The sequence below is a fragment of the Homo sapiens genome, chromosome 13 (assembly GCF_000001405.40).
Source record: "Homo sapiens chromosome 13, GRCh38.p14 Primary Assembly".
In the NCBI taxonomy this organism is placed as follows: domain Eukaryota; kingdom Metazoa; phylum Chordata; class Mammalia; order Primates; family Hominidae; genus Homo; species Homo sapiens.
This window is the reverse complement of record NC_000013.11, coordinates 86868509-86895346: the sequence shown is the minus strand read 5'-3', so window position 1 is coordinate 86895346 and position 26838 is coordinate 86868509. Positions and strand designations below refer to the sequence as shown.

The 26838-nt window shown below is 34.9% G+C and overlaps 1 long non-coding RNA gene across 1 annotated transcript in view, besides 4 other annotated features; it reads right to left on the bottom strand.

The window, feature by feature from the left end:
* Positions 11790 to 12391: an enhancer, noted in NCBI's record as "H3K27ac hESC enhancer chr13:87535211-87535812 (GRCh37/hg19 assembly coordinates)". NCBI's record gives its function as "activates a minimal SCP1, AML or CMV promoter by ChIP-STARR-seq in naive H9 embryonic stem cells {active_cell/tissue: H9 hESC(naive)}" and the evidence as "EXISTENCE:reporter gene assay evidence [ECO:0000049][PMID:30033119]".
* Positions 12144 to 26838, bottom strand: part of LOC105370300 (uncharacterized) — a 90882-nt gene continuing 76187 nt past the window's right edge. The window contains exon 3 of the long non-coding RNA XR_931621.3: positions 12144 to 12392. This is a non-coding gene — a long non-coding RNA (uncharacterized LOC105370300). The remainder of the gene's footprint in view (positions 12393 to 26838) is intronic.
* Positions 12392 to 12993: an enhancer, noted in NCBI's record as "OCT4-NANOG-H3K27ac hESC enhancer chr13:87534609-87535210 (GRCh37/hg19 assembly coordinates)". NCBI's record gives its function as "activates a minimal SCP1, AML or CMV promoter by ChIP-STARR-seq in naive H9 embryonic stem cells {active_cell/tissue: H9 hESC(naive)}" and the evidence as "EXISTENCE:reporter gene assay evidence [ECO:0000049][PMID:30033119]".
* Positions 12994 to 13595: an enhancer, noted in NCBI's record as "OCT4-NANOG-H3K27ac hESC enhancer chr13:87534007-87534608 (GRCh37/hg19 assembly coordinates)". NCBI's record gives its function as "activates a minimal SCP1, AML or CMV promoter by ChIP-STARR-seq in naive and primed H9 embryonic stem cells {active_cell/tissue: H9 hESC(naive and primed)}" and the evidence as "EXISTENCE:reporter gene assay evidence [ECO:0000049][PMID:30033119]".
* Positions 13596 to 14199: an enhancer, noted in NCBI's record as "OCT4-NANOG-H3K27ac hESC enhancer chr13:87533403-87534006 (GRCh37/hg19 assembly coordinates)". NCBI's record gives its function as "activates a minimal SCP1, AML or CMV promoter by ChIP-STARR-seq in naive and primed H9 embryonic stem cells {active_cell/tissue: H9 hESC(naive and primed)}" and the evidence as "EXISTENCE:reporter gene assay evidence [ECO:0000049][PMID:30033119]".

Below are 26838 nucleotides of genomic sequence, written 5' to 3'. Positions count from 1 at the left end.
GAGTCTCACTTTGTTGTGCAGGCTGAAGTGCAGTGGTGCAATCTCAGCTCACTGCAACCTCTGTTTCCCAAGTTCAAGCAATTCTTCTGCCTAGTCTCCCACGTAGCTGGGATTATAGGCGCATGCCACCATGCCCAGGTAATTTTTTGTATTTTTAGTAGAGACAGGGTTTTACCGTGTTGGTCAGGCTGGTCTTGAACTTCTGACTTCGGGTTATCCACCCGCCTCAGCCTCCCAAAGTGCTTGAATTACAGGCATGAGGCATGAGCCACAGTGGCTGGCCATGTTTTTGTTAGGTTTTTGAATCATAGTGTTCTGGCTGGAATTATGTATATCCCCCAAAAATATGTTGAAGTCCTAATCACTAGTACTTGCAATTGTAACCTTGTTTGCAAATAGAGTCTTTGCATGTATAATCAGGTTAAAATGAGGTCATACTTAATTAAGGTAGGCCTTAATTCAATATGACTGGTGTCTATATCAGAAGAGAGGCGACACTAAGAAACAGAGGAAGGGAATGTCATGTGATGATGGAGGCAAAGAACAGGGTGATGCATCTAGAGCCAAGTAACAACATGGATTGCTGGAAGCTTCCAGAAGCTAGGAGAAAAACATGGAACAAGTAGGTTCTTCTTCACTACTTTCTGAAAGAGGCCATCCTGCCTTGATTTCACCCTTCTAGCATTCAGAACCATATATAATAAATGAATTGTTTTAAGCCACCCAAATTCTTGTACATTGTTCTGACAGCATTAAGAAACTCATACACAGTATACTAAAATTATAGCCATATATGCAGTTACATTTCAATGGTTAACATTAGTGAACTCACTCCATGTACCAGTCTGCTTGGGGAGCAGGACAAAAATGTAAATGTAGAGAGATGACAACCAAGAAAATAAATGAGATAGTCAGCTTTCAAGTGAGGGCAGCCATATTGTGAACCATTCAGACAGACATCTAACAAAAGGAAATGGAATAGTTGTGTGCTAATCAGAAAAGTTAAATGCAGGGATTTAGTAACAGGGATGAATCCAATAAGACTGTGAAATATATTAGAGCTATTTATTCTAGCTTTGCAAAATACTGTCAAATGCTATAACTTGGAATTGCATCATCACGTGCTACTGATCTAGATCTCAGAAATCACTTATTTATCAATAAATTTTTTAGTTCACAAAAGCCTTTGATCTTAGACAGGACAGCTAATCTTAGGAATAGGAGTAGATTTTTGCCTAGGATAAAAGTGATGTGGTGGCAGGTAATTCTGCAGCAAATTAGAGAACTATTTTCAAATTCCACTCATAACCTCTTCAGGATTTTTATCATTACCATAGTATTCTATGAGTATTGTTAAAAAAATCTAAATTTTGAATAATTATACATACACATATATGTGTATCAGATCTTATTATATGTCAAAAGTTGTCCCTTTTAGTTTATCGTGAATTTCCATCCTTTCATCAGGTTAGAGATTTTCATTCAAATAAACTGGAAGAAGTAATATAAATATTTGTATAAAGATGTCTAGAAATTAGAAAAAAATGTTATTTAGATAATGGAAGTGATCACTGATTCTACTGAACTAATAAAATACTTTGACTTGGGGTTTTGTTAAAACTCAAATCTTAGTCATATTGATTTTTTTCCATCACTGTGTTGGAATTTCCATAGGTACCTGACTCATTCTATTTGTCAGTTTCAGTGAGTTTTTTTTTTTTTTTTTGTCTTTTAGCTTTAGTTGAAACTAGATATAGTAGGCATAGGCATCCATAGAGCAACAAAATAAGTATGTATAATTTCATGCTTATTTCTATCCTCTATTTCATTCTATGTTAAATTTGTGCTGTTTAAGGAACTTAAAACATTTTTTGCAAAAGCATTCCATCCAACATGCTCTATAGATACAACATGTAACATAAATTCCACCAATCATACGTAGAAACACACACACACACACGTGCATAGTGTTGATCCCATCTACAAAAGACATCCTCAACAATCATAAGAATCTCTATTATATGGGTAAAGTGAGTGTCATGTGTTATGTGACAACTTAGATTAAATATTGTTTTTCTACATTTGTAACAAAATACCCATTATTTAAAGAAGTTGATCAATTTATAATTTGTTCTCAAACTCTAACCATAATAAATGTATAAAATGGAAAATGTACTTTAGTAAAGTGGTAATTAAAATTCAATATAAAGGTTATTTTTACTAATTAATGAATTTTACATTTAGGCTTTCTATGGTTTTCAATACAGATAGCAAAAAGTCAAGTAATAATGTAGTTTCTCTGTACAATACGAGCAGATTTTAAAGTTTCTTGAGGAGACATAAGAAGTCACCCTTTAAATCTTAAGTCCTTCGTTCTTATTTCAATAGATCAGTAATATTTTACACTTTAACTTTGTTAACATATATTTAAATTGTGTTTTTATCATGTTAAAATAATTGGTGAAATATTCATTTAAAATAAATCAACACTTGATACAGATTCGGATTCAATTATCATCCAGAACTTACTATGAAAGAAATATTCAGTTTCTTATTGAATTTCTCATATTGTCAGTAATGTTTCACAAAAGTAAACTTATCAATCAAATACATTTAGATATGTCTTCTACCCCTTTCTTGTAAAACCTGAGATTTGTATTCAGAGTATAGTTTTTTAATAGCCAGCTCCTATTAAAGAGCTCCCACAACTTTTTCTTCAAGACTAGAATCATCTCCCATTAAGAGAGAGGGTATTCACGAGCATTCATACTTTCTCAGGAGCTCTAGGACTCTGCAGGTGGCTGGAGATAAGAATGGTGAGTCATTGGCGAAATAGGCAAAAATCTGACCTCTTTTTTTCTTCCCTAACTATACACAGCTCCACACTTTGTACAGCTAGCTTTAAACAAATAAATAAACATGATACAGATTATGCATTTGACAAAACAATTACACGCAGGATTTACACATAAGTTGGAGTGTTAAATGCTAAATGAAAAAAAAGAGCCTTAGCCAGGCACGGTGGGTCACACTTCTTATCCCAGCACTTTGGGAGGCCGAGGCAGGCGGATCACCTGAGGGCAGGAGTTCGAGACCAACCTGGCTAACACTGTGAAACCACGTCTCTACTAAAAAAATACAAAAAATTGCCGGCCGTGATGGCGGGCGCCTGTAGTCCCAGCAACTTGGAAGGCTGAGGCAGGAGAATGGCGTGAACCCGGGAGGCGGAGCTTGCAGTGAGCCGAGATCGCGCCACTGAACTCCAGCCTGGGTGAGAGAGTGAGACTCCGTCTCAAAATAAATAAATAAATAAATAAATAATAAAAAAGGAAAGAAGAAAATAAAGAGCCTCATGTTGAAAAATGTTTAAGAATTTCAAGACGGCAATAGCACAACATTAAGCCGTGTGTGGAGCCCTGTGACGCCGTGTAAGTTACATGTCTGGGAAGGCAGCAGCCCTGTTTTAGGAGGTTCTGAGGAGCTATGTTGGATTGGATGAATCAAATGCTTCCAATCTTTCAAAGATTATCTCATATTTTCCCCCTTCTGCCCGTAAGAACAGGAACAGCGTTTCACTGGCCCCTTTTTCCTAATGCTGTTAATACCGTAAACAACACCCCTGCCTACATCTTCCATTGTTCAACTTCCACGAATCCATATGGAGAAGAAATCTAAACCAATCAGCTTTCCTACAAAGCCTTGCTCAAAACAATTATTCCATGATTAGAGTTGAGTCTTAATAAACAGCAATATTTGACAGTTCTTTAGAGCTTTATATGTGGTAGGCACTGTTCTGAGGCTTTACGTGTTGTCTTAGTCTATTTGGGCTGCTGTAACAAAATACTATTACCTGGGTGGCTTATAAAGAGCTATAAATCATGCTGCTATAAAGACACATGCACACGTATGTTTATTGCGGCACTATTCACAATAGCAAAGACTTGGAACCAACCCAAATGTCCAACAATGATAGACTGGATTAAGAAAATGTGGCACATATACACCATGGAATACTATGCAGCCATAAAAAATGATGAGTTCATGTCCTTTGTAGGGACATGGATGAAATTGGAAACCATCATTCTCAGTAAACTATCGCAAGAACAAAAAACCAAACACCGCATATTCTCACTCATAGGTGGGAATTGAACAATGAGATCACATGGACACAGGAAGGGGAATATCACACTCTGGGGTCTGTGGTGGGGTGAGGGGAGGGGGGAGGGATAGCATTGGGAGATATACCTAATGCTAGATGACACGTTAGTGGGTGCAGCGCACCAGCATGGCACATGTATACATATGTAACTAACTTGCACAATGTGCACATGTACCCTAAAACTTAGAGTATAATAAAAAAAAAAAAAAAAGAGCAAAAATTTTTTCTTGCAGGTCTGGAGTCTTGATGCTCAAGATCAAGGCACCCCCAACTTCACAATCTGGTAGGGACCTTCTTCCTGGTTCATAAATGGAATCTTCTTTCCGTCCTCACACAGTGAAAGGGACAAATCATATCTCTAGGGTCTCCTTTATGAAAGCACTAATCCCATCCATGAGGGCTGGATCCTCATGACTTAATTGCCTCCTAATGACCCTACATCTTAATACTGTCACATTGATGGTTAAGTTTCTTTTTGCTTTTCTTTTCCTTTATTTTTTTTTTTTTGAGACGGAGTCTCACTGTGTCGCCTAGGCTGGAGTGCAGTGTCGCTATCTAGGCTCACTGCAACCTCCGCTTCCCGGATCCAAGGGATTCTCCCACCTCAGCCTCTCCAGTAGTTGGGAGTACAGGCTCCGCCACCACGCCCGGCTAATTTGTGTATTTTTATAGTAGACACGGGGTTTCATTACGTTAGCCAGGCTGGTCTCAAACTCCTGACCTCAGGTGATCTGCCTGCCTCGGCCTCCCAAAGTACCAGAATTACAGGCATGAACCACCACCACCAGCTGTTATATTTCAACATATGAATTTTGGAAGAATATAAACATTGAGAAAATACCATACGCACTTACTCATAAAACTTTCAAAACCGGTGGGAATTATATTACCTTTATTTTACAAATGATGAACGGGAGTTGAAGAATGGAGAAGGAAGTAAATTGTTTATGATTATCCAGGTAGTAAGTGGCAGATTCTTGATGCAAATCAAAACATTGTGCATCCGGAATCTGCATCCTTAACTGCAAGTTTATTTTATATCGATAATGGTGAATTTTCTTCTTGTTTTCTTGGAAAAGCACAGTAATATGATAGTATACAGCTGGATGAATTAACATAAACTACCACATGGTTTTAGCAGAACCTCTCAGAAACTCCCTCAATTGCTACCCCTTCTCCAGAGGGAACCATGACCCCAAATTCTAAAATTATAAATAAGTATGTTTGTTATTGAAATTTATAAAAATGGAGTCATTTGGTACAAACTGTATATTCTGGCATTTTTCTTGCAACATTATACTTTTGAGATTCATCCCTGTTATTTGTGCAACGGTAGTTAAATCATTTTTATTGCTGTATAAACCATCCACTATTCAGTAGTAAATATATTTACTAATATACTGTTGGCCATCTAGGTGATTTTTTTGGTTTTTTACTATTATAGATGGTTCTTCTATGAACATTCTTGTATATATGTTTTATTATTCCAGCAGGGATTTGTTGAGTAACAGGTAAAGAACAGGGTCAAATTTAGTAGCTGTGGTCAAAATGTTTTTCACAGGTTTTGAAAATATTTACACTTCTACCAGTAGAAAATCTTGAAATTTAACTATGATTGTAGGTGAGTAGTGATATTCCCCAATTTTTATTTTACACTTCCTTGATGAATAATAGAAATCAGCATGTTTTCAAATGTTGGCCTCTTGGATACCTTCATTTGTGATGTGCCTGTTCATGTTTTTTGTACTTTTAATTTTATTGGGTTATCTATCTTGTTCTTATTTATATGAAAGTCTTTTATTCATTGTAAATGTAAAATTTATATTATGTATAATTTTTGTAAATATTTTTCTCCCTCTGTTACACAGTTTATTTTCTTAGTATTTCCTATTGAGAAACAGAAGTCCCTAATTTAATGTATCTAAATGAATAAATGAGTAATTTATTTTATGCTTAGAGGTTTGGGTAAACACCTTAAAATCTTTTCCCACAAGTTCATGAGAATGTTCTCAAATGTATTATTTTATTTTTTCTCTTTTAACTTTTTCCATTTGTGTCTGCAATTCAACTCAATTTAATATTTTATGGTATGAGTAGGGTCAATTTTTATATTTTTCTTTCTACATGGATACCCAATTGAATCAGAGGAATTAAGAAGACTACTCTTTCCTCATGATGTTAGATTTTTCTCTTTGTTATAATCTTTATGTCTATTTATCTATCTTTATATCCATTTATGTATCTGGCTTTTCTATTCAGTACCATTGATCTACCGCTCTAACCTTGCCCTAACACGAAGGACAAGAAAAAAAATATCTTTCTGAAGGGTTGAAAAAATATCTTTACCTCACCCGTCCTAAGTTCACAGAAGCCCGTATAACAGAAGACAATTAATAAGAAAAAGCATATGGATATATTTCATAGAAAATTTACATGACTTGAGAGTCTTCATAAGGAAATGAAGGCCCAAAGAAATGGGTAAACCTGTAGATTTTTTACAGGTTTTACAAAGAGTGGACATCAGAGAAATATGATTGGACAAAATGTATGATTTAATGTCAATAAACTGGGGGGAACTTAGCAAGATCTGTTTGGTCAGATTCTACTTTGTATTCTTGTGTCCTCAGAGATAAGGGTGCTCCTTTCCTCTTGGTATAGAGGATACCCCTCCAATGAGGGTCTTATGACCTGCTTCTAGGGAAAGCTGGAAAATCTTTCCTAGGTTTTATGTCCTGCTTTAAGAGAAAAAGGCCAGAGAAAGTCAAAGGGCAGCCTTTCTGATTCTGTTGTTTTCTCAAATGCCAATGTGCTGTATGGGGTAGGAGGTCCTGAACCTCATCGCCGCTCTGTCTTAATTAAATTGTTTCGTGATACAGATAGAAACCAGCCAGACATTTGCTCTACTTCCTTTTATTTTAAAGTGTCTTGGTTGCTTGGGGGGATTTGCTTTTCGATGTATGTTTTAGAATTGACTTTGAGTTTTATGAAACTTCCTGTTGGGAAAAAATAGACATGTGCATGATATAGAGACTTACTCTGGTAAAAATATTGAGATGTTCTAATTAATTTAGATTTTCTTCAAAGGCTTTCAACAAGTTAAATAAACTTCTTCATAAAATGATTTATATATCTCATTAGCTATATAATGAATATGGTGGTATAGCCATCCACCCTTTTTAAAAAGATTTTTTACAAGATTTTCTTCAGTATCTTGGTTTCTTAGCATTTTCAGGTGCATTTTAGTGCAACTTTGTCAAACTGCTACCATATATCCTCCCTTAAAATATTCCATTTGTTGAGATTCCATTGAATCTATAGATCAATTTGGGAGACAGGAATTTTTATATTGAGCATTCAAATACACAAACATGGTATACACTTCAATTTATTGAAATCTATTATATTGTATCTCAATAATATTATGTTTCTATGTGCAAATATCTGGTATATATTTTAGTAGAACTATTTCTATGTGATTAAATTTCTTTAATATAATGAACACTAGAGTTTTTAAACCTTCACATCTAATATTTTCTTACTGGAGTTTAGAAATAAAGTTTATTTTTTATACTGATCTTTATCCAATGGCCTTGATACATTTACTTATTAAATACACTAGTGTATGCAATAGTTATACTATTGGTACACAATGCCATCTATGAATAATGGCGTTTTTATTTATTCCTTTCCAATCTTTATACCCATGATTGTATTTTCTCGTCTTAGTGTACTGGCTACATCTTCTAATAAAATAGGGAAGAGAGTAGCAGCTAGCTTTATTATTCCAAACTCGCTGAGAAATTTTAGACATTTTACTGTAGGTGAGGGAGTAACAAATGTTTTCTATGAAGAGTCGGGTGTATGTATCTTTAGACCTGCAGAGCATAATCTCTGTCATTACTATGAAACTCTGTCAGTTCAGGACAAAAGCTATCAGAAATAATAATCAAATGAATAACTGTGGCCATGTTCCTATGTAACTTTATTTAGAAAACAAGAATGGGTTACATTTTTCCTGTGGGCCATAGTTTGCCTTTTCTAGTGTAAGAAATCTCTTTAGTATTCAACTTTCTAGCAGTTTTGTGTAATGAATAAGCTTTATTCAATGGTTTTTAACGTAATATTAGGTAATAGCTTTATCTTCCTTGTTCTAGAAGGAATTTTCAGAATTGCCAAAAAGTTTTAAAAATATTAAGCTATTTACATTCCTGAAGGATATCCTAACTGTATGTGATGCATTATTTTTTGTTTTTAATCTATTGATGGATATTGTAAAACATATTTTTAGAATTTCATTTAGTTGCACTGTGTTTTAACTTTTAAAAATGTAACTTTTAACTATTATGGGTACATAATGAGTGTATATACTCATGGGGTACACGTGATGTTCTGATACAGGCGTACAATGTATTATAATAAAATCAGGGTAATTGGGGTATCCATAATCTCAAGCATTTATCATTTCATTTTGTTAGGAACATTTTAATTCTATTCTTTAAGTTATTTATCTATTTATTTTGATACGGAGTTCCGCTCTTGTCGCCCAGGCTGGAGTGCAATGGCACAATCTTGGCTTGGCTCACTGCAACCTCCGCCTCCTGGGTTCAAGCAATTCTCCTGCCTCAACCTCCTGAGTAGCTAGGATTACAGGTGCTGGCCATCACGCCTGGTTAATTTTTAGTATTTTTAGTGGAGACGGGTTTTCACCATGTTGGCCAGGCTGGTCTCAAACTCCTGACCTCTGGTGATCCACCAGACTTGCCCTCCCAAAGTGTTGGGATTACAGGCATGAGCCACCGTGCCCAGCCAAGTTATTTTAAAATACACAATAAATTCTTGTTGACTATCTTCACCCTGTTGTAGTATCAGATACTGGATCTTATTCATTCTAAGTGTATTTTAGTACCCATTAACAATTTGCACTTGCCCCCAACCAACCAACATTTTTTTCTTTTAGTATTTTTCTATTCCTTTTCTGTCAGGATTATATTGTTCATACTGAGTATGGAAGCATTTTTTTCCTTATTTAACTCTGGCAAATATCATTTAAAGATTTGCTATTTTTTTCCTTAATTATTTGGTAGTTTTTTCATGGTGAGATCATTTGGGCATGAAGTTTTCTTCTGGAAAGGCTTTTAATAGCAGATTAAAATAATTTTATAGATGCAGTACTTTTCAGAATTTTTATGTATCTTCTCCTGTCAGTTGTGCTGTGTTTTTCAGGCACTTTTTTTTTTTTTTTTATAAAACACATCAACTTAGTTGGTAAATTTTGTCACTAAATTATCATTCTTAGATTTCTGCAGAATCTATGGCAGCAGAATAGATCCTGCAGAATTCTTTAATTCTGATTTTGTCTTTTTTTCCCTTTCTGTTTTTTCCTTTTTACCCCCTTCCTAGGATTTATCAATGTATTAGTCTTGTTAAAAACTAAATTTTGACGTTTTTGCTACTACATATGCATTTTTTTGTTTCATTAATTTCTTTCTTGTCATCGTTTCCTTGCTTCTATTTGTGTATGTGTGTGTTCACCTCTATTTTCTTTTCTAACTATCTGAAACAGATCTTTACTGTTACTGCCCTTAGCTAGTCACTGTCTCAGAAGGTCTTTCGATTAACAATAGAAAAGGTGTTGCTTTAAGATGATAAAATTAATCACTTCCTACCCACTATTGTAAACTCTCAGTAAGTGTGAGACAAGTTTATAGGGACACTGAAATTGCATCTTCTTTTTTTGATCTCCTTTATTTACTTTCCATTATACTGCACCAACTATTAAATTTATTTTGACCATGCTCATTTCATTTATGCAGTCTATTCCCCTTTGCTAGTGAACTTAAGACTAGCATATATCTATCATGCTAAAACTGATCGCTTGTAATGAGTAATAAATAAAAAATATTCTCAACTTACATATGATCTATTTCTTCTGATAATCTTTGATTCTTATCAAATATACTCAACTTGAATGTAAAAGGGAGGAAAGACCACACTGAGCAGTCCACAGAGGGAAGTTTCTCAGGGCACAGAACAAGGCAGAAAAGGGCAGGATTAAAACATTTGATCTGAGTGTGTGGCTGACAGGAAAAGTGTTTCTTTCCAGTAATAATTTGTAAATTACAAGTTGTGGAGACAGCTACTTATAAACTAAATATTCATTTCCCTTAAATAAATGACATTAACTTATATTTTGTAGATAAATGGTATTTAGAAATCAATAGGCTACAATTTTCTATTTTGATTTCATGATGAATTTGATTTTGACATTTTATTAACATAATCACTTGGTTTACGTCATAGATATATTAAGTTATACTTATGTAATCAAAGTTGAATTGTTAATAGGCAGCCATGATCTTAATTTATTGAATATTAATTTTTTTCTATAGGAATTTCTCCTAATCACTTTTATTCAAGTTGAATTAACAATAATATTTGGATCAAATATGCTATTTCTGAATATTTATTTACCTCTTCTGTAATCAGCAAATGATTAATGCGAAAGAGCCTACTATAAATTTATCTTTGAGCTAATGTAGAGAAAGAGATAGTACAGGAAATAAAATCTATTGCTTATCTCCCTAATCAACTTCTATTCCACGTGAGAAGTCAAGGGAACCATAAATCATATAAAAGTGAACACAATGAAGATGTTTTTTTCATAAACAAATTGTAAATTGTTTGCTCACATTAAAATTCATATACATATGGCAAACATCCATTTTATGCAATGCTATGCAATAGAAGTGTGGGGGAATGTTTCTACCACAAGAAAAACTATGGCCAGAATGTATTTATCTTGTGATCCTCTACAAAGCTGCAGCTCTGACCAGTATCACATAATAGTACTGTTTTTAATCAAGGTATTGACATCAACCCAGTTCAATATCAATTATATCTAAAATTTCTCTCCACTTCCCTTTATTCAGTGTACATTTAGATTATTCAGAAATAGTAGAAGAAAGATATACCGTATATACTTGTGCATTTGTTGCAGAGTTCTTTCTTACTAGTATCGGGCCTTCATTTATTTCAAGGTTCTTTGTTACTGGTTTAGGTCTAGATTTTTATATACTGCATTGACCTAAGCAAAATCTCTGTTTAACAGAATCAAATTAGTTTGATTTCACAGATCTCGTGAGACTTTCATAAACTTTCTTTATATTTTAGTCATGAGGATGCCATAAATAATTATCGGCAATCAAAAATCTCTGCAGCTTAAACTATTCTAATTCCCACCTTGACAGTCAATTACTGCTACTATTCCTACCTTACCTTTGAAGGTCAATTACAGCTACTTGGATTGTACTACCCACATATCTTATCTTCCCTATTGAAACTGGGAACCCACTTCCATCGCAGAATCATCTCTGGCCTGCAGATGAATAGCCAACAGAGTACTTTTCAAATAAACTGACCTTTTCCTCACCAATGTCCTTCTTTGTGTTTTGGTGAAACAAGGCTTTTGTGGTTCTCCTTCAGGGCCATAATGAGGGAATGTGTGAATAACTTTATAATTTCCACTTTCGCAGTACTTAGGATAAATTCTTATGTATTGCAAAATAAAACCAAACACATATCTAGCATTTCACCTTCATTTTCCATTGGCCCCCATCAAGTACAGGTTTCAAAAATCAGAATCTCTGGATAGTGCAGGCATGTTAATGAATTCATTACAATCTAAACTTATGTTTAGTGCCCTAAACATAAACTTAAAATGTAATTCCCTAAAAATATATCGCAAAACAAGTCCTTCTTGTTTTTTGTAAAAAAAAAAAAAAAAAAAAAAAAAAAAAAGTTAAACAAATTTCCATGTATTTTATTTAAATAACCAAATTCTTTTGTTGTATTTCTCCTATTGGCTTAGTCTTATTCAATAGTGTTTCAATCCTTTTCTCTTCTTGTTCATGAGGAAGGGATTCCCACTCCAGGGTATGAGAATGACTCAACACATGAGACCTGCAATTGGACAGATGAGATGGACAGCAGTGTTTTAGTCACGTAGACTCACAGTCCCAGGGAGAAGGGCACAGCATGTCATGCAGGGTTACATGGGGGTGTCCTTGAAACAGAGTGGATAAGCAGCAGCTGTGGAAAGCAGGCTTTGTAGTTTCAAGAGGGTGCTTGTCCTTTTTCATTCCCTGGGAAAAATGTGATTGCCTCATTTGATCTATGGTCTGACAGAAAACTGAAATCTTCTGTGCTCAGGGATAAGCAGGAACTTCACCTGGTCCTGTTGATAAGGAGAGTTGTTTGGTTAGGAGACTTTACCCACATGAGCGGAGGAGAGGAAGTTGTGGCTACGCCATTTGAGACCCTTCTGATTTCAACAGATGTTAAAGCATCACTTAGTATTGGACTTAGATGTTAAACTTTACTTCACAACTAGGCTTCTCTGGATGTTTAGAACTAAAAAAAAGTTGAGAGAGCTGAGAAATTGTAATCAAAACCAGATTCAGCCATTTGCTGCTCAAAAACCACACTTGAAAGACAAGGGTTGGTATTGATATGGCTCCGATGATTGGAGGAACACCAGGGTCCTTGGTCTCACGCCGGTTTGGATAAAATGACACAGACACACGTGGAGTGGTTTTTAGGAGCAAAAAGTTTAATAGGCAAGAAAGAAGGAAGGAAGAAAACAGGTCCCCCATACAGAGACAGAGGGAGGGGGGACTCGAACAAAGAGAAAACCCCATGTGCAGAGGCGGAAAAGTGGCTGCTTATACTGGGATGCTGGAGGAGGCTGTGTCTGCTTTGCATAGGGCTCAGGGGATTGGTTTGACCAAGTGTGTCATTTACGTAGCCCGTGAAAAATGTGGCCCTCCCACCTTAGTCCTTTCATATGCAAACGCAGGTCACCATGATGTTTCAAACACATGGTGTTATCTGGAGGTGGCCATGACACCTGGTACACCTAGTAAGAAGGAAAGGACAGCAGGAATTGCCACATTGAGTGAACCCAGTTTCTAATGGCTGGCATTTGCATATCAAAGCTTGCCAGCCTGGCCCTTCAAGCAGCCTTTTCTGTTAGAAAAGAGATGGTTTAAGGTTTGTTTCTTATTACAGGAAAATTTCCACCGAGAACATTTACTCTTACTATCTGCCTAAAGAATTATTTCTTAATAACTCCTGTATCAGTGGGAGGAAAAGCAGGTTTACCCAGAAAAACCAGCAAAATCAAAAAGATCATGAACTAAAATTCAGAAGTACGATCTTAAGTCAGTACAAATTTTAGGCTCTTTCTACATTAAGGACAGAGAGAAGAGGCAGGGGTTGACATCAAGAGGCAACTGATGACTACAGATATCTGGGTGACAGGGAGGGTCTGAGGAAACTGGGAACTTCTTTGCCCTTAGTCAGGTCACAATTCACCTCTAAATCTTTAATAAAAGATAGTTAGTTGTTTTCATACGTCTCCTTTAATTCCAGAGTTATTTTTTAAAAACTACATGATTGCCATTACTGCCTGTTATCTCAGTAGTCTAAAATTATCCTAACCTACTAGCAGGGACGAGCAAAGGCCCTTTGAATAGAAATGGAGTTAGGCTAGTCCTTTCCTTGTTTCATTGTTACAAAATGAGGGCTATTAGCTTCCCCTTGAAAAGTCATTGCCTTGGGCAATATTCTTCCAAGTCCCCAAAGAAGATAGAGGCCTCTGCCTCAACAGGAATGAAAAGGCTCCTTTGGCTATTAAGGACAGCTCAATTTGGTTTGGAAACTGGGATGCTCTGAGTATCCCATATCCCCTCCAGAGTCCCTATTTTAATTCCCATTCCTTATTGGTTTATGATCATTGTTCTATTTTTCATATAAAAGAACTGGTAAATTGGTAAATTTGATTAGTATAATAATTTAATAATGTACATGGTCAGATTATAATTTTTTTCACTACCTTAACTCCATGATAATTAGACAAAAGTGATTCATTTGGGACACTTATTTAAATGTTGATTTTCCTTGAACTGAGAATTTAAAACTTTTGGCATCTAATGTACTTTTTTCAAGCTCTCAGTGCAATCACAAGCACCACTCAACCCACGGTTCTTATATTTATCTTGTGGTTCACAATGTTCCATGACAACAGCTATTTAGTAACTAAGGTTTTAGCTTCAAGATGGACTTCACTTTCAATAAGTGCAGGTGGTCATTGTAGAAGATTTCATGGAACACCATGGTTACATATATTCATATAAATTATTTTTAAGCTCAACCAGCTTAGTTTACCAATACCTATTCTCATTTTTATGATGATCTGTTTCATAAAGTAATTGTATTTACTGTTTATAGTGTCAATTAAGATTCTAACTTGCAGTCAAAGCAGGCTATTCTGATTTGCTACATGGAAAAATGTATTGATTAATATATATTAGAAAGCTTATAGAATCATTAATAGAGCTAGAGAAAAGGGCTCATAGAAAATTTTGATAAAGACAATCAGAATCACTCCACAAATTGATTTGAAAGACAACACTGTCATTACTACCTGCAATACAATAATGTGATTGTAATAAAACCTCTACATCTACCAGTACACTTGATCATGTAAAATTTCTATTGATGCTTTTGGTTGCCAGGCTTCTCTAAAACATCTCTTTTCATTACATAAATGACTTATGAAGAGTCCTTTTTCTTAAATAGCTCCCACATTATCTAAAATGCCTGTGGGTCTGATTGGTAAAACATTGGTAGGTTACATTCCTTCTTTATATTGGAGGGACTTTTGACAAAGACTATTTATCCATGACAGGACGTAATTCCATTATGTTAGGGGTCCCTGCAATTGAATGTTAAATCCTACTTGAGAACTCTACTATATTAAAAAATATTTCTTCGAGACTGGTGTGTGTGTGTGTGTGTTTGTGTGTGTGTGTTTCATGTGTGTATGTATGTTGGGACTGGGGTTGGTGTGTGTATTTGGCTTTATTTTCGTATGGGTATATTTTATACTAATTACCCTCAGGACTATTAGAAGAATAAACTGACCTGAATACTAATCTAAATGTTTAACTGGTGGGCATAACTAGTATGCACCAATCTATAACTGTTTTATCAACCTTTGAGAATCCTTCTGTAAGCCCCTGTGGAAAATTCTACAACAAATACCTAAGGGAAATGTACTATGGGGTGGAAAATCAAAACGAGTAGGCAAGTTGAGAGAAAAGTGGTCTCTGTTGGTGGGGCCAGATGAGATTAGAAGAAGGAGGTGATTTTGTACACTCCTCAGTCAAACTTGAAGAAAAAATGCTAAGTTTGTAAAGGAGGCATTTATGAGACTGATAGTTTGACTTTGAAGATGTAATCTATTTATTTTTATAAAAGAAGTGGTATCTAACATATAATAGAATTTTTACTATTTATAATGTATTTTTATATTTTCCTCAAACTTCAGTAAATCTGAAACATGTAGTCTTTCTTTGTGGATGATGGGAAATAATGAGAGGGAATAGCAAAGGAATATATACCCTACCCAACATTAATTTCCCCCTTAACATCCATTGAGAAGGATCAGCATTTTCTCAAAGGCACTTTGTCCAATAAATTGAGAAGATGAATAGCCACAGAGTAAGTGAGCTGCTATCCAGGTCAAAGTGGGGACAGCAGTAAAAAAAAAAATACGGAGAAGGTGACAGAATGACAAATGATGACACAAAACCAACACCTAGCTCTCTCTCCATTTTGAATAAGCATATATAATACATCTCCTAGCTAGGAAGGAAAAAAGCAACACTTTACTAATTCATATTAATTAACAATAACATCCAGTCTTCTCACAACAAAAATAATAACTCTGTGAGATAATGCGCATGTTAATTATCCAGAGTCCGTCATTCCACAATGCATATATACTTCAAAACATCATGTTGTACATAATAAGTACATACAATTTTATGTCAATTAAAAATAACTGAAAAATAGTTAATAACAAATATGTTGCCAAACTGTATAGGACTGGTATTCAAACTAGTAGAACCTTAAACAAATTTGCTAACAAAATATTAAACGCATTTGCAGCGCTGATGTTTGTGGATGTGTTACAACCTTTACAAATATCATAATAATAGAAGAAAATTACGAATTTTTCCACTGTGAACTGACAAATAAATTTCCACTGTGAATTGACAAATAAATTACAAATTGGCAGTAAACTCAGTATTTTTTTTTTTTTTTTATCCAGCCAGTACTGAAGTCTGGACTCTCCTGATAATCTTCTTTGTAAGTCATGTTCCCACCCCCCCCTTTTTTTTTTTTTTTTAGCTTGCTATCTTCCTTTGACAACTACTTTCTTGTTCTTTCTCATTATTCAATGTAAGAAGGTAAATCCTAAAAAAAGGAGTGGAATGAAAGTAAAAGACTGTTCTGAGTTTCACATCACGCAAGGGTTATCCAGAATTGTTTGTAGTTTGGAGTAAATCATTAATCTATCATAGAGTCATACTTTTCTATCATGTTTTTAAAATATATATTCAAATAGGTTCAAAGGAAGGTAAGTGAGGCTAATAAATACTGTGAAATAGCCAAAGTAGAAAAATGTGGGCCAGGCGCGGTGGCTCACGCCTGTAATCTCAGCATTTTGGGAGGCCAAGATGGGTGGATCACGAGATCAGGAGATCGAGACCATCCTGGCTGACACGGTGAAACCCGTCTCCATTAAAAATATAAAAAATTAGCCAGGCATGGTGGCGGGCGCCTGTAGTCCCACCTACTCGGGAGGCTGAGGCAGGAGAATGACATGAACTCGGGAGGTGGAGCTTGCAGTGAGCCGAGATCGTGCCACTGCACTCCAGCCTGGGCAACAGAGAGAGAATCCGTCTCAAAAAAAAAAAAAAAAAGTGATTAGCATTTTCATAAAATCTAAGTCTATGTTAGCATATATATATATATATATATATATATATATATATTACATAGATACAGCTTTCTCTCCATATATAGAGATATTAAGTAGATATCTAGACAGAGATATTTTATATATATATATATACACATATATACAGAGAGCGACAGAGAGAGTTATGCGTACGTGTGTATATACATATATATATAGAAAGAGAGAGAGGGAGAGTTATATGTATGTAACTAAACCCATCTAAACCAAAATAATCATTCAACTATCTATCTATCTATCTATCTATATGTAAAGCAAGTATATCTCAAAGTAGTGGAAAAACTTTTAAAATATTCTAAATGACCAATAATTCTTACTTTTGGTAATGAAGACGACACCCTTGAAGTCAACAGAAAAAGTAACAACAAGAACAATAACGAAAGCCTTTGAGGCATACATTTTCTAGCTGAAAGTGACATAATTCACAAAAGCATTGATCAGAAGAACAAGGTTGCAGAAATGGTATTTTTCTCTGGACACCCTGAAAGATATGGTGATTCTAGTCCATTTAATCACCAAAAGAAAAACAAAATCCTCCAGAATTAATAGCTTGGAGATAATTCTAGTTGAAACAGGAAGCCAATATAAATCTGCCAAGATAGGACTAATATGTTGTCTCTTCACAGTGAAAGTTAAATTATGATCCAACAAGTTCTAGACATGCTGTAATTTGAAGATAGTCTTATCAAAAAAGCCATAAAAATAAATGTTACAGTAATCGGTTGCTGTAGCAACTGTGATGTGGAATAAATAAATGAGAACTTCATAAAAGCAAGTTATACAAAACATGCAAAAATGTGGCATAACTCATAAGGTATTAAATTCACATAAATATTTTAAAATCTCATTAAAATATGAATGCTTCCCTGCTTTTTGTGAAAGTGTCAGTGTTTAAAAGCTTAAAGGTACACATTAAAAATGTAGGCAAGTGCTGTGCATGGTGGCACACACCTGTAATCTCATGTTGGGAGGCTGAGACAGGCGAATTGCTTGAGCCCAGGAGTTTGAGATCAGTCTGGGCAACATGGTAAAACCTTGTCTCTACCAAAAAAAAAAAAAAAGCAAATTAGCAGGTGTGGTGGCACAGGCCTGTGGTCCCAGCTACTGGGGAGGCTGAGTTGGGAGAGTCACCTGAGCCCCGAGAAGTTGAGGCGGCAGTAAGTCATGAGTATGCCACTGCACTCCAGCCTGAGAGAGGGAATGAGACCCTGTCTCAAAAAAAAAAAAAAAAAAAAAAAAAAGTAAGCCAGGTGCTGTAGATGCTGTTACTCATGCCTGTAATCCCAGCACTTCTGGAGGCCAAAGCAGGAGGATCACTTGAGCCTAAGAGTTCAAGATCAGCCTGGGTAAAGTAGCAAGACCCTGTCGCTACAATGAATAATAAAAAAGTAGCCTGGCATGGCGGTTCATACATGTAGTCCTAGATACTAAGAATGCTGAAGTGGGAGGATTGCGTGAGCCCGCGAGTTCAAAGTGACAGTGCCCTGTGATCATGCCACTGCACTCCAGCCTGGACAATACGGCAAGACCTTGAATTTGTTGTTTGCAAGATGGAGAGCTCCCATTCAAAAGGAAAACAAAAGATAGCCTTTAAGATCTCATGAGTTATAAATCTGAAGATTAAATATTAGTAATACCATTGAAGCATATCTTCCTATTTGCACCAACGTGGATGAAACTAGAAGTCATTATGCTTCTAGTACAGAAAGACAAATACTGCAAAATGTGACTTACTTAAAAGTCAAATTTATAGAAGTAGAGAGTAAAATGCTGGTTACCAGGGGTGAGGGAAGGTGAGAGAAGAAATGGGGAGATGAGTGTAAAGTTTCAGTTATACAGGAGGAATAATTTTTTGAGATCTCTTGCATAGCATGGTGACCATAGTTAATGATAATGTATTATAAGTTTCAAAAGTGCTAAGAGAGTAAATGTTAAATATCTCACTACAAATTATGTTATGTATGTGAGGCGATGGATATGTTAGTAAGCTTGATTTCGTCATTTCACATTGTATACAAATATGACAACATCACACTGTACTCCATAAATGTATACAATTATCTGTCAAATAAAACTTTTTAAAATTGAGAAAAAATTGCATCTCCTGAAACAATTTTCTTCTTTTCTTTGTCTACTACTCTCCCATGTTTACATTTCTGTCTGTTCTTACCCTTGTCTTTATTGTTTTTCTTTAAAACTTAACATTTTCAAAATATTTTTCTTATTATATGTCCCACCACAATTCAGTAGGTAGAATAGTATTATTCCTATTTTTCAGGTGAATGAATATGAGCTTTAATAATATTCTATATTGGTGTCAAATTTTAATTTTAAAAAATCTTCCTTCAAAGTCATGGAGAAATACCTTACTGAGTTTTCTTGTAGAGTGCCACAATGTCCCCAAGAGAAGTATATAGTGGTTGAGTACGTGATTGAAGTGTTAGTTTATTTATGAGATAATAATTAATCATGAAATTTTAGAGACAGACTGAAATATGTCAATGGTTCTATTGAGTTTATGCAATATAATCCAGAATTTAATTTAACTAATTTGACTATGAGAAACCAATTTTCCATTAAGCTAAGTAACTAAAATTGCAACATGTTTCAAAATTGCATTCTCACTGTGAGCAAACGCAAAAAGAAATCTCAGAAATTTACTCGTAATTCAAGCAGCTTTCTGTCTTGTATTCAAAAATATAAAATTGAATAACTAATATACTTTATGAAAAACATTTTAAATGGAGTAGGTGGTTTCCTATGTTGCCTCTGGAACAAAAGTCTTCACCTGAGTCAGTATTAACCTCTTTGAAAATTAAGAAGAAAAGATCTGTTAAAACAGTATGAGATCAACATAAAGAGATAAATTGACTAAGAAGATATACAAATCTTAATCACATATAAGCATTTAGGACTTCATTTGTTGTTATCTCATTCTGTTTATATTTTTTTCTTACATCTGTGAGATATTTTGTGTCAAACCCAGCTAGCTGCCTTTGTAAAACTGATCAGTCTCTTATACCTTATTATTATATTCCCAAGTTTCTTTGGGGAAGCAAACGGTCCAGTGTCCAGAGTAATGGTTACTTTCCCAGCCTCCCATGAAGTAATGGATAGAAATCTAACATACTTGCAACAAATGAGATGTAAGTGGAAGTCTACTGGTGGGATTTTCAGACAACCTGATTGTTCTCCTGACAAGGTTAAATAATTAGCTCGTGTACTCATTTTGCTTTTTTTTTTTTTTTGTAACCTCCTTTACTTTCATTTGTCTGTTCTACTCTTCTTGCTTAGAGTGTGGTTGCAATGCTGGAGTTTTCAGCCCATTTTGTGGACATGAGACTGTAAAATCCATGTGAAGGTAGGTAGACTAAAAAGATAAACAGTGCAAATACATTGATGATATCATTAAGGTAAAGAACAGTGTCAATCTTGGCTTGTTCAATATTGGGGCATTGTTTTTATGTGAGATTAAAAAAAAAAACTTCTTTGACAATTCAGTTTCCTATAGCAGAAATTCAATATAGTTCTATTGGTGTCCTAAATGCTCTATTTATATACAGGTTTAGTCACATCAGGAAACAAAATATTTTTGATCATTTTATTTTATTATAAGAGTCATATTTTTCTATACTTCTTAAGTGCCATCTATAGCATCAGAATATGTCAATATTTTTCTGTTAAAGGTGTATTCATAAAGATTATAATAATATCTATATGCTCTATTTATGTGGTTATGACCTATGCTACTTTCAGATTTTCTGTTATTCTGCAAGAGCCCAAATAAAAAGATAATTAAAATACAGATTACATACATAAGTCCATCTATTTGATAGTTCATTTTCTTCTGGAAAGTTTGCTGCTATATATAAAATATTTTTTTAATCTGATAGAAATACTTGATTGGGGCATCACACAGTCTCAGAGCAAAAAATGTAATAGACTCAAGAGTCTCAGAACAAAAAGCTCAATAGATTCAAGTATTTTAACCTCAATTTGCATTTCACTTTAAAATTTTTAGCACACTCATACTGGTTTATCATGAGAAAAGATCATAATAAGAAGTGCATTTACCGTGACATATGGTTACTTTGGAAACCTTTGTTACTTTGATATATTTATATAATTTACTAATTTACTAATGCAAAAAATTTAGATAAGTGAACTCAAAATATTTAATCTGAATTCTATTAAGTTTGAAACTACTACAAGCAAGTCCCCATAGAAACTTAAATAGATTTGAAATTCATGAAACTTTTGCAAACAAGCTCAAACATAAATTTAAAAAATCATTTTATTTTTGCAAATACCAACACGAGGTATTATTCTTATATCCTTGTGGCATATGGATACTTTTAAATTCCAGCAAGACTTTCTTTGATCTTCATTCATAGAGGGATATATTATTTGAGTCTCACATTAGATTAAAGAAAGCTTAACAAAATTTAATAAGTAAATAATAAGGTGTGTTAATTTTTTTGTTAGATACCACAACTTCTGATGCAGAAAAACAATAATCATACTTAAAAGACTTTAAGGTAGAAAAATAATATGTAATGTGCCTTTTGAGCAGAATGTGACATGGGCTATATATAGTTTGGCCATTCTAATAGAGTTTATACCACTGTAAGTCTTTTCATATTGTCTACAAAACCAATTACATGCTGATTCAGAAATCACATTTCACAGCTTCCCTTGTCAGATCACCATATGATTAAGGATGGCAATGATTGTTTTCTTTCTTCCTAATCAAATGGCCTGGCCATTTCCCAAGGTCAGAAGAGTGTGAAAATGAAGTTCACTGTCTTGGCAGCCATCTTCCTTATGCTTTTGTTGCACCTCTCTTCCCACTAGGTAAGCATCACCTCCATTACTGTCCTTCCTGCTGACTTCTAGGTTACTCTTGCCCTCACCACCTATGTATTCTGTTGTGATGATTGCCTAACGCTTAGAAACTGTTTCCAAGTATCAGGTCTCAAAAGAAAGATGCCTTGCCAATAACTCCTACAAACACAGTATCTGCACTACTGAGTTTTTCTTTGTCAGACCAAAAAAAAAAAAAAAAAAAAAATGGGGTTTGGACTCAGATTGCCTAGGTTTAAATTTTTGTTCCACAGTGGCTGTGTGATCTTGGTCAAGTTCTTGAAATTCTCTGTTCTTCACAATTGTTGGCGCTAAAAATTGAGGATAAAAACAGTGCTTACCTTATAGTGTTATTGCAAGAATTAAATCAGGTATTGTGCATAAAACTAAAACTAATAGTTCTCATAAAACTAGAACTACAACTCTTACATACAAATCATGTCACTGATTCATCAATAATTGCATGACATTTTACTATAATACAATATAAGTAATAGTATATTTGAATAACACCAATTCCATTGTTATTTTGAAAAACATCATAGGGAAAGAAATCATACTGATATTAAAATAGTGTCAAATTCTATGTTTTGAGCTGAAATTGTGGGGATGAAAAATGGAATACAAAATAAATGCATGAATGCAGAACCACACATTATCATGAACAGTAACATGGGCACAAGACAAGGCAACAGCTTTTAATCCTATCCTCTTCAGTTTCAATGTCATTTCCTCCTTTTGTGGCTGGGTTGATTTTAAATTTGTTGCATTATTATAGAGAGCATCAATTTAAACTAAGGAAAATATCACTTACCTTCTATATTGTAACACATGATAAGCACTCCATGCATAGTATTATTGTAACATTCTTATCATAATATATTGCTGTTTTCTTGTATAGTGGCCTCTTACATCTTATGCATTATCACTCCAGTCTCAGGATACTCAATGGGTAAATCTTCAGACTGTTTTTCTTATTGCATATATTTATCTAATATCTCAATTGATAATATTGTGCAAACCTCTATAATTAGCATAAAATGATTTCCTTTTATTTCATAACATAGAAAATATATGTTTAAATTTTTCCATAGTACTTTATTTGAGAAGATATTTTTACTTCAGTAAAACAAGAATTTGCAAATTCTCTTATTATAGAAGGAGTATGTTAAAGATAATGTGTCCAGACATTTTAAAGTTATCATCTCATCTTAATTCTTAAACAAGTATTTGCAAAGTTTCCTGAACTTGGTAATACTAAAATGTAGTTGTTTCAGTTCCTCTAATTAACAAGTAGTTATTAAACACAATTTTGTAGAAGCAATTTTTTATTAGTTTAGCATGTGGTATTCTAACTAGATTATATACAAAGCGGAAGGATATTAAGGAAAGAATATAGGAAGAGTTATTCCTTTAAGAAAAGTGACCGATTAGGGAACTCAGGGAATATAATTATTTAAAAAAATGTAGACATTACTCAGTTCACTGACTATAAGTAAACTGTAAAGAACCATTTCTACCACCAAGGCATGTGTGCGTTTGTTGACAAGGAAAATAGAAGTAGGAATATCTGAGAGAATTTCTGGGAAAAAGAAGTGCCTCTGCCTGAGACCGAGTCTCGATCTGTTGCCCAGGCTGGAGTACAGTGGCATGATCTTGGCTCACTGCAACCTCTGCCTTCCAGGTTCAAGCAATTCTCCTGCCTCAGCCTCCTGAGTAGCTGGGATTACAGGTGCCCGCCACCACACCGGGCTAATTTTTTAAATTTTTATTACAGATGGGGTTTCACCATGTTGGCCAGTCTGGTCTCAAACTCCTGACCTCAGGTGATCCACCTGCCTCGGCCTCCCAAAGTGCTGGAATTACAGGCGTGAGCCACTGTGTCTGGCCCCTTTTAGCCAGTTTTTAAAAGGCCTGTAATCCATAACCTCATTATCTGGCTTGCCCCAAAACTGTGGCAAAGTGTCCTATCAGAGATTCACTATAAACTCTTAGAGTATTAAAAAGCAAAGTAGTTTAATTTTAGTCTTGTCCTCATCATATAAACAATTTTCCCAAACAATTTTCCCAATACTTGTTGTAATCTAGTATTGTTAAAGAGAGAATAATTATTCAACAATACTTGTTAAGGTATTGTAAGGCAGACTTTATTCAAAACCATCACAATTGGTACATATGAACCACAGCAATGGGATTTTGCAGTAGGGGAGAGAGATTGGACTCCACTCTGAATATAGCGTGGGCAGGTGGGACTTTATAGCCACAGAGCAGGGTGGAAGTCAGTGGATGAAAAATTACTAATAGGACACATCAGGAATTAGAGGTATTCTGGCTACACTGACCTAGCAGGATTCCTGCTGAAGGCAGGCCAGGGCGATCAAACATCTCCTGGAGGACAGCGAATGAAGAACCCGATTAAATATTTTGGGCGATTAGACATCAGGGAGAGGGAGATTGATTCTAGCTAACCTGATTTAGCAGGGTTCTTTGCTAAAGCTGGATTTTGCAAGGAAGTGCACAGGCAGGCTTAGGAAAAGTTTCCGGAGGCTGACTAAAGTTTGGTCAAGCAAAGAATCTTTGTCTGTATGAAGATAATCCAAATTTATGCACACCATATGCTTTGGACTCACTTTATGGTAAAAGCTGAAAATTACTGCAGCACAATGGTGATTTGTGATCAGAAGAGTCTTAAAAGGGCACAGCTTCAGCTGGTTTAAGGAAAACGATGTGTCTGCTAAGGACTAGTAGCCATGAATGATTTTAGTAACCTGTATGCACAAAAAGAAAAATGACTGCCATCCTAAGACATTGAAAAAAGCATAATGTATTTCTTTTACATTTCTCAAAGATTTTGCCGTTTTTGTGCCTTAATCCTGCCACCTGCTGGTGTTACATAGAACTGAAAAGAAATGGCAAAAATATTTTAATATGAATTTTACAGGAAACATACAATTGTTTCAAATTGCTCTAGTATAGTAACTAATGTTTTTCAGCAAAGTTAGTGTTTTTCTTAGAATATATGCCTCTTTAAAACATTATATTAATATACTCAGTGAAGGAAAATATGGAATGTTAGCAAGTGTTATGTTAATAATTTTCTTTTTTTTCATAGCTGCTTTGAGGAGTTGATGTATAAATAAAAGATTTTTTCACCAAGAACTAAGAAAAGTATGCACAGTAGCAAGGTATTTTTATAGGAACTGCAAGTAATGAATTCAAATGTGGCTTTCAAAACTGTTACTTTTTTTTAAATGAATTCTTATGTATCTTTGGTTTTTCCAGCTTCTTGGCTTCCCATGCCTTTTGTGCAAATATGAGCCAGGAAATCTTAGCCACAGCAGAGCTATGTGAGGAGATGCTATTGTATCACTGCTATACAATGATCATACAGAAGACTTGAGCTAAATCTGTACTGAAAGAAATTATAGGGAGACTGTGTAATTACGGTTTGCAAGGAAACCTACATGATTATAATTTGAGAAATTTAAAGAAATTGTTTTTTTCACATTTGGGGACACAATTTTTGTCTCATGAAAACTGATTATTTTTCCTTTTCAGGAGAGCAAAGACAATTATATACTCAGAAACATAATTGGTACAATACTGATTAAAGGCAAAAGACACTTTAAGAGACTGCTTCTTAGTCATGCATTTTTTCTTTATTATAGCAAGAGACTGTCTTAGAAAAAGGCAAAAAAAAATAAAAATTTCAGGGAATTAAAACAAATTCTTCAGTATAGTTTATGCCTCATTTTTTAGTCTTTAATTCAAATTAAAATTATGTTGCTGACTAAATTGACATCTGTAAAATGCAAAAAGACAGTCATATTTTCTTCAAATAGTTTCACATAATGTGCGGCCTGAAACAATGTCATTTTAGCTAGCACTTTGTCAAGGAAAGTAATCCAAGAAAACAAAAGGGAACATGAGGAGTGAGCAAGGAATAGAAAGCCAATGTGCAAATAGGTTATGGAGAGGGCTGGCTCCGTGGCAACTGATGGAAGATGTGGTAGGAATGTCCTCTAAGAATCCCTGAAACTCCCAGGAAACTGATGGGAAAGACTTGATTCTTCAGCTCTAGTGTCTGATTTGTAGGTGTTTTACTCCCAAGATGTTACATGTCAGGCACTTCTGAGTTGTGCATTCATAGATACCTCAAGGCAGTAGCTGAGATTCACATGGTATGGATATGAGGTGAGGTCCTTTCAGTTGCACTTGCATTAATTAGTTGGAACACATAGTGATTTGATCACTTTAGCAGCAGCTTGAACGAGACAATGATAAGTTCAAGAGCTTCCAAAGAGGTATATAAAAGAAGTGACAGGTAACTCAATATTCAATATTTATTACATAATTTAAATTTTATCTATAAGTCATAAAACCTTAAAAAAGGGAACTGCACATTTCAGTTACTCAGACAGATGTATGGTATCATATAGAGAAGATATGTGAGCATCTGACTATCATTCAAGAGTTACAGAAGGAGGCCTGGTGCGGTGGGCCACACCTGTAATCCCAGCACTTTGGGAGGCCAAGGCGGGCGGATCACCTGAGGTGGGAGGTCGAGACAAGCCTGACCAACATGGAGAAACCCCGTCTGTACTAAAAATACAAAATTAGCCAGGCGTGGTGGTGTATGCCTGTAATCCCAGCTGCTCAGGAGGCTGAGGCAGGAGAATTGCTTGAACCCGTAGGCGGAGGTTGCAGTCAGCCAAAATCGTGCCATTGCACTCCAGCCTGGGCAACAAGAGTGAAACTCTGTCTCAAAAAAAAAAAAAAAAAAAAATTAGAGTTATAGAAGGAGAAATATTTAGACAAATCTACACAACAATGGCCCAAAGTGTTTTAGTTTGTGTCTTTGTTAGTTTGTTTTTAATATGTGTTACTTTAGAAATGAACATTTCAATTGAAGATGAGAAAGACATGGCAA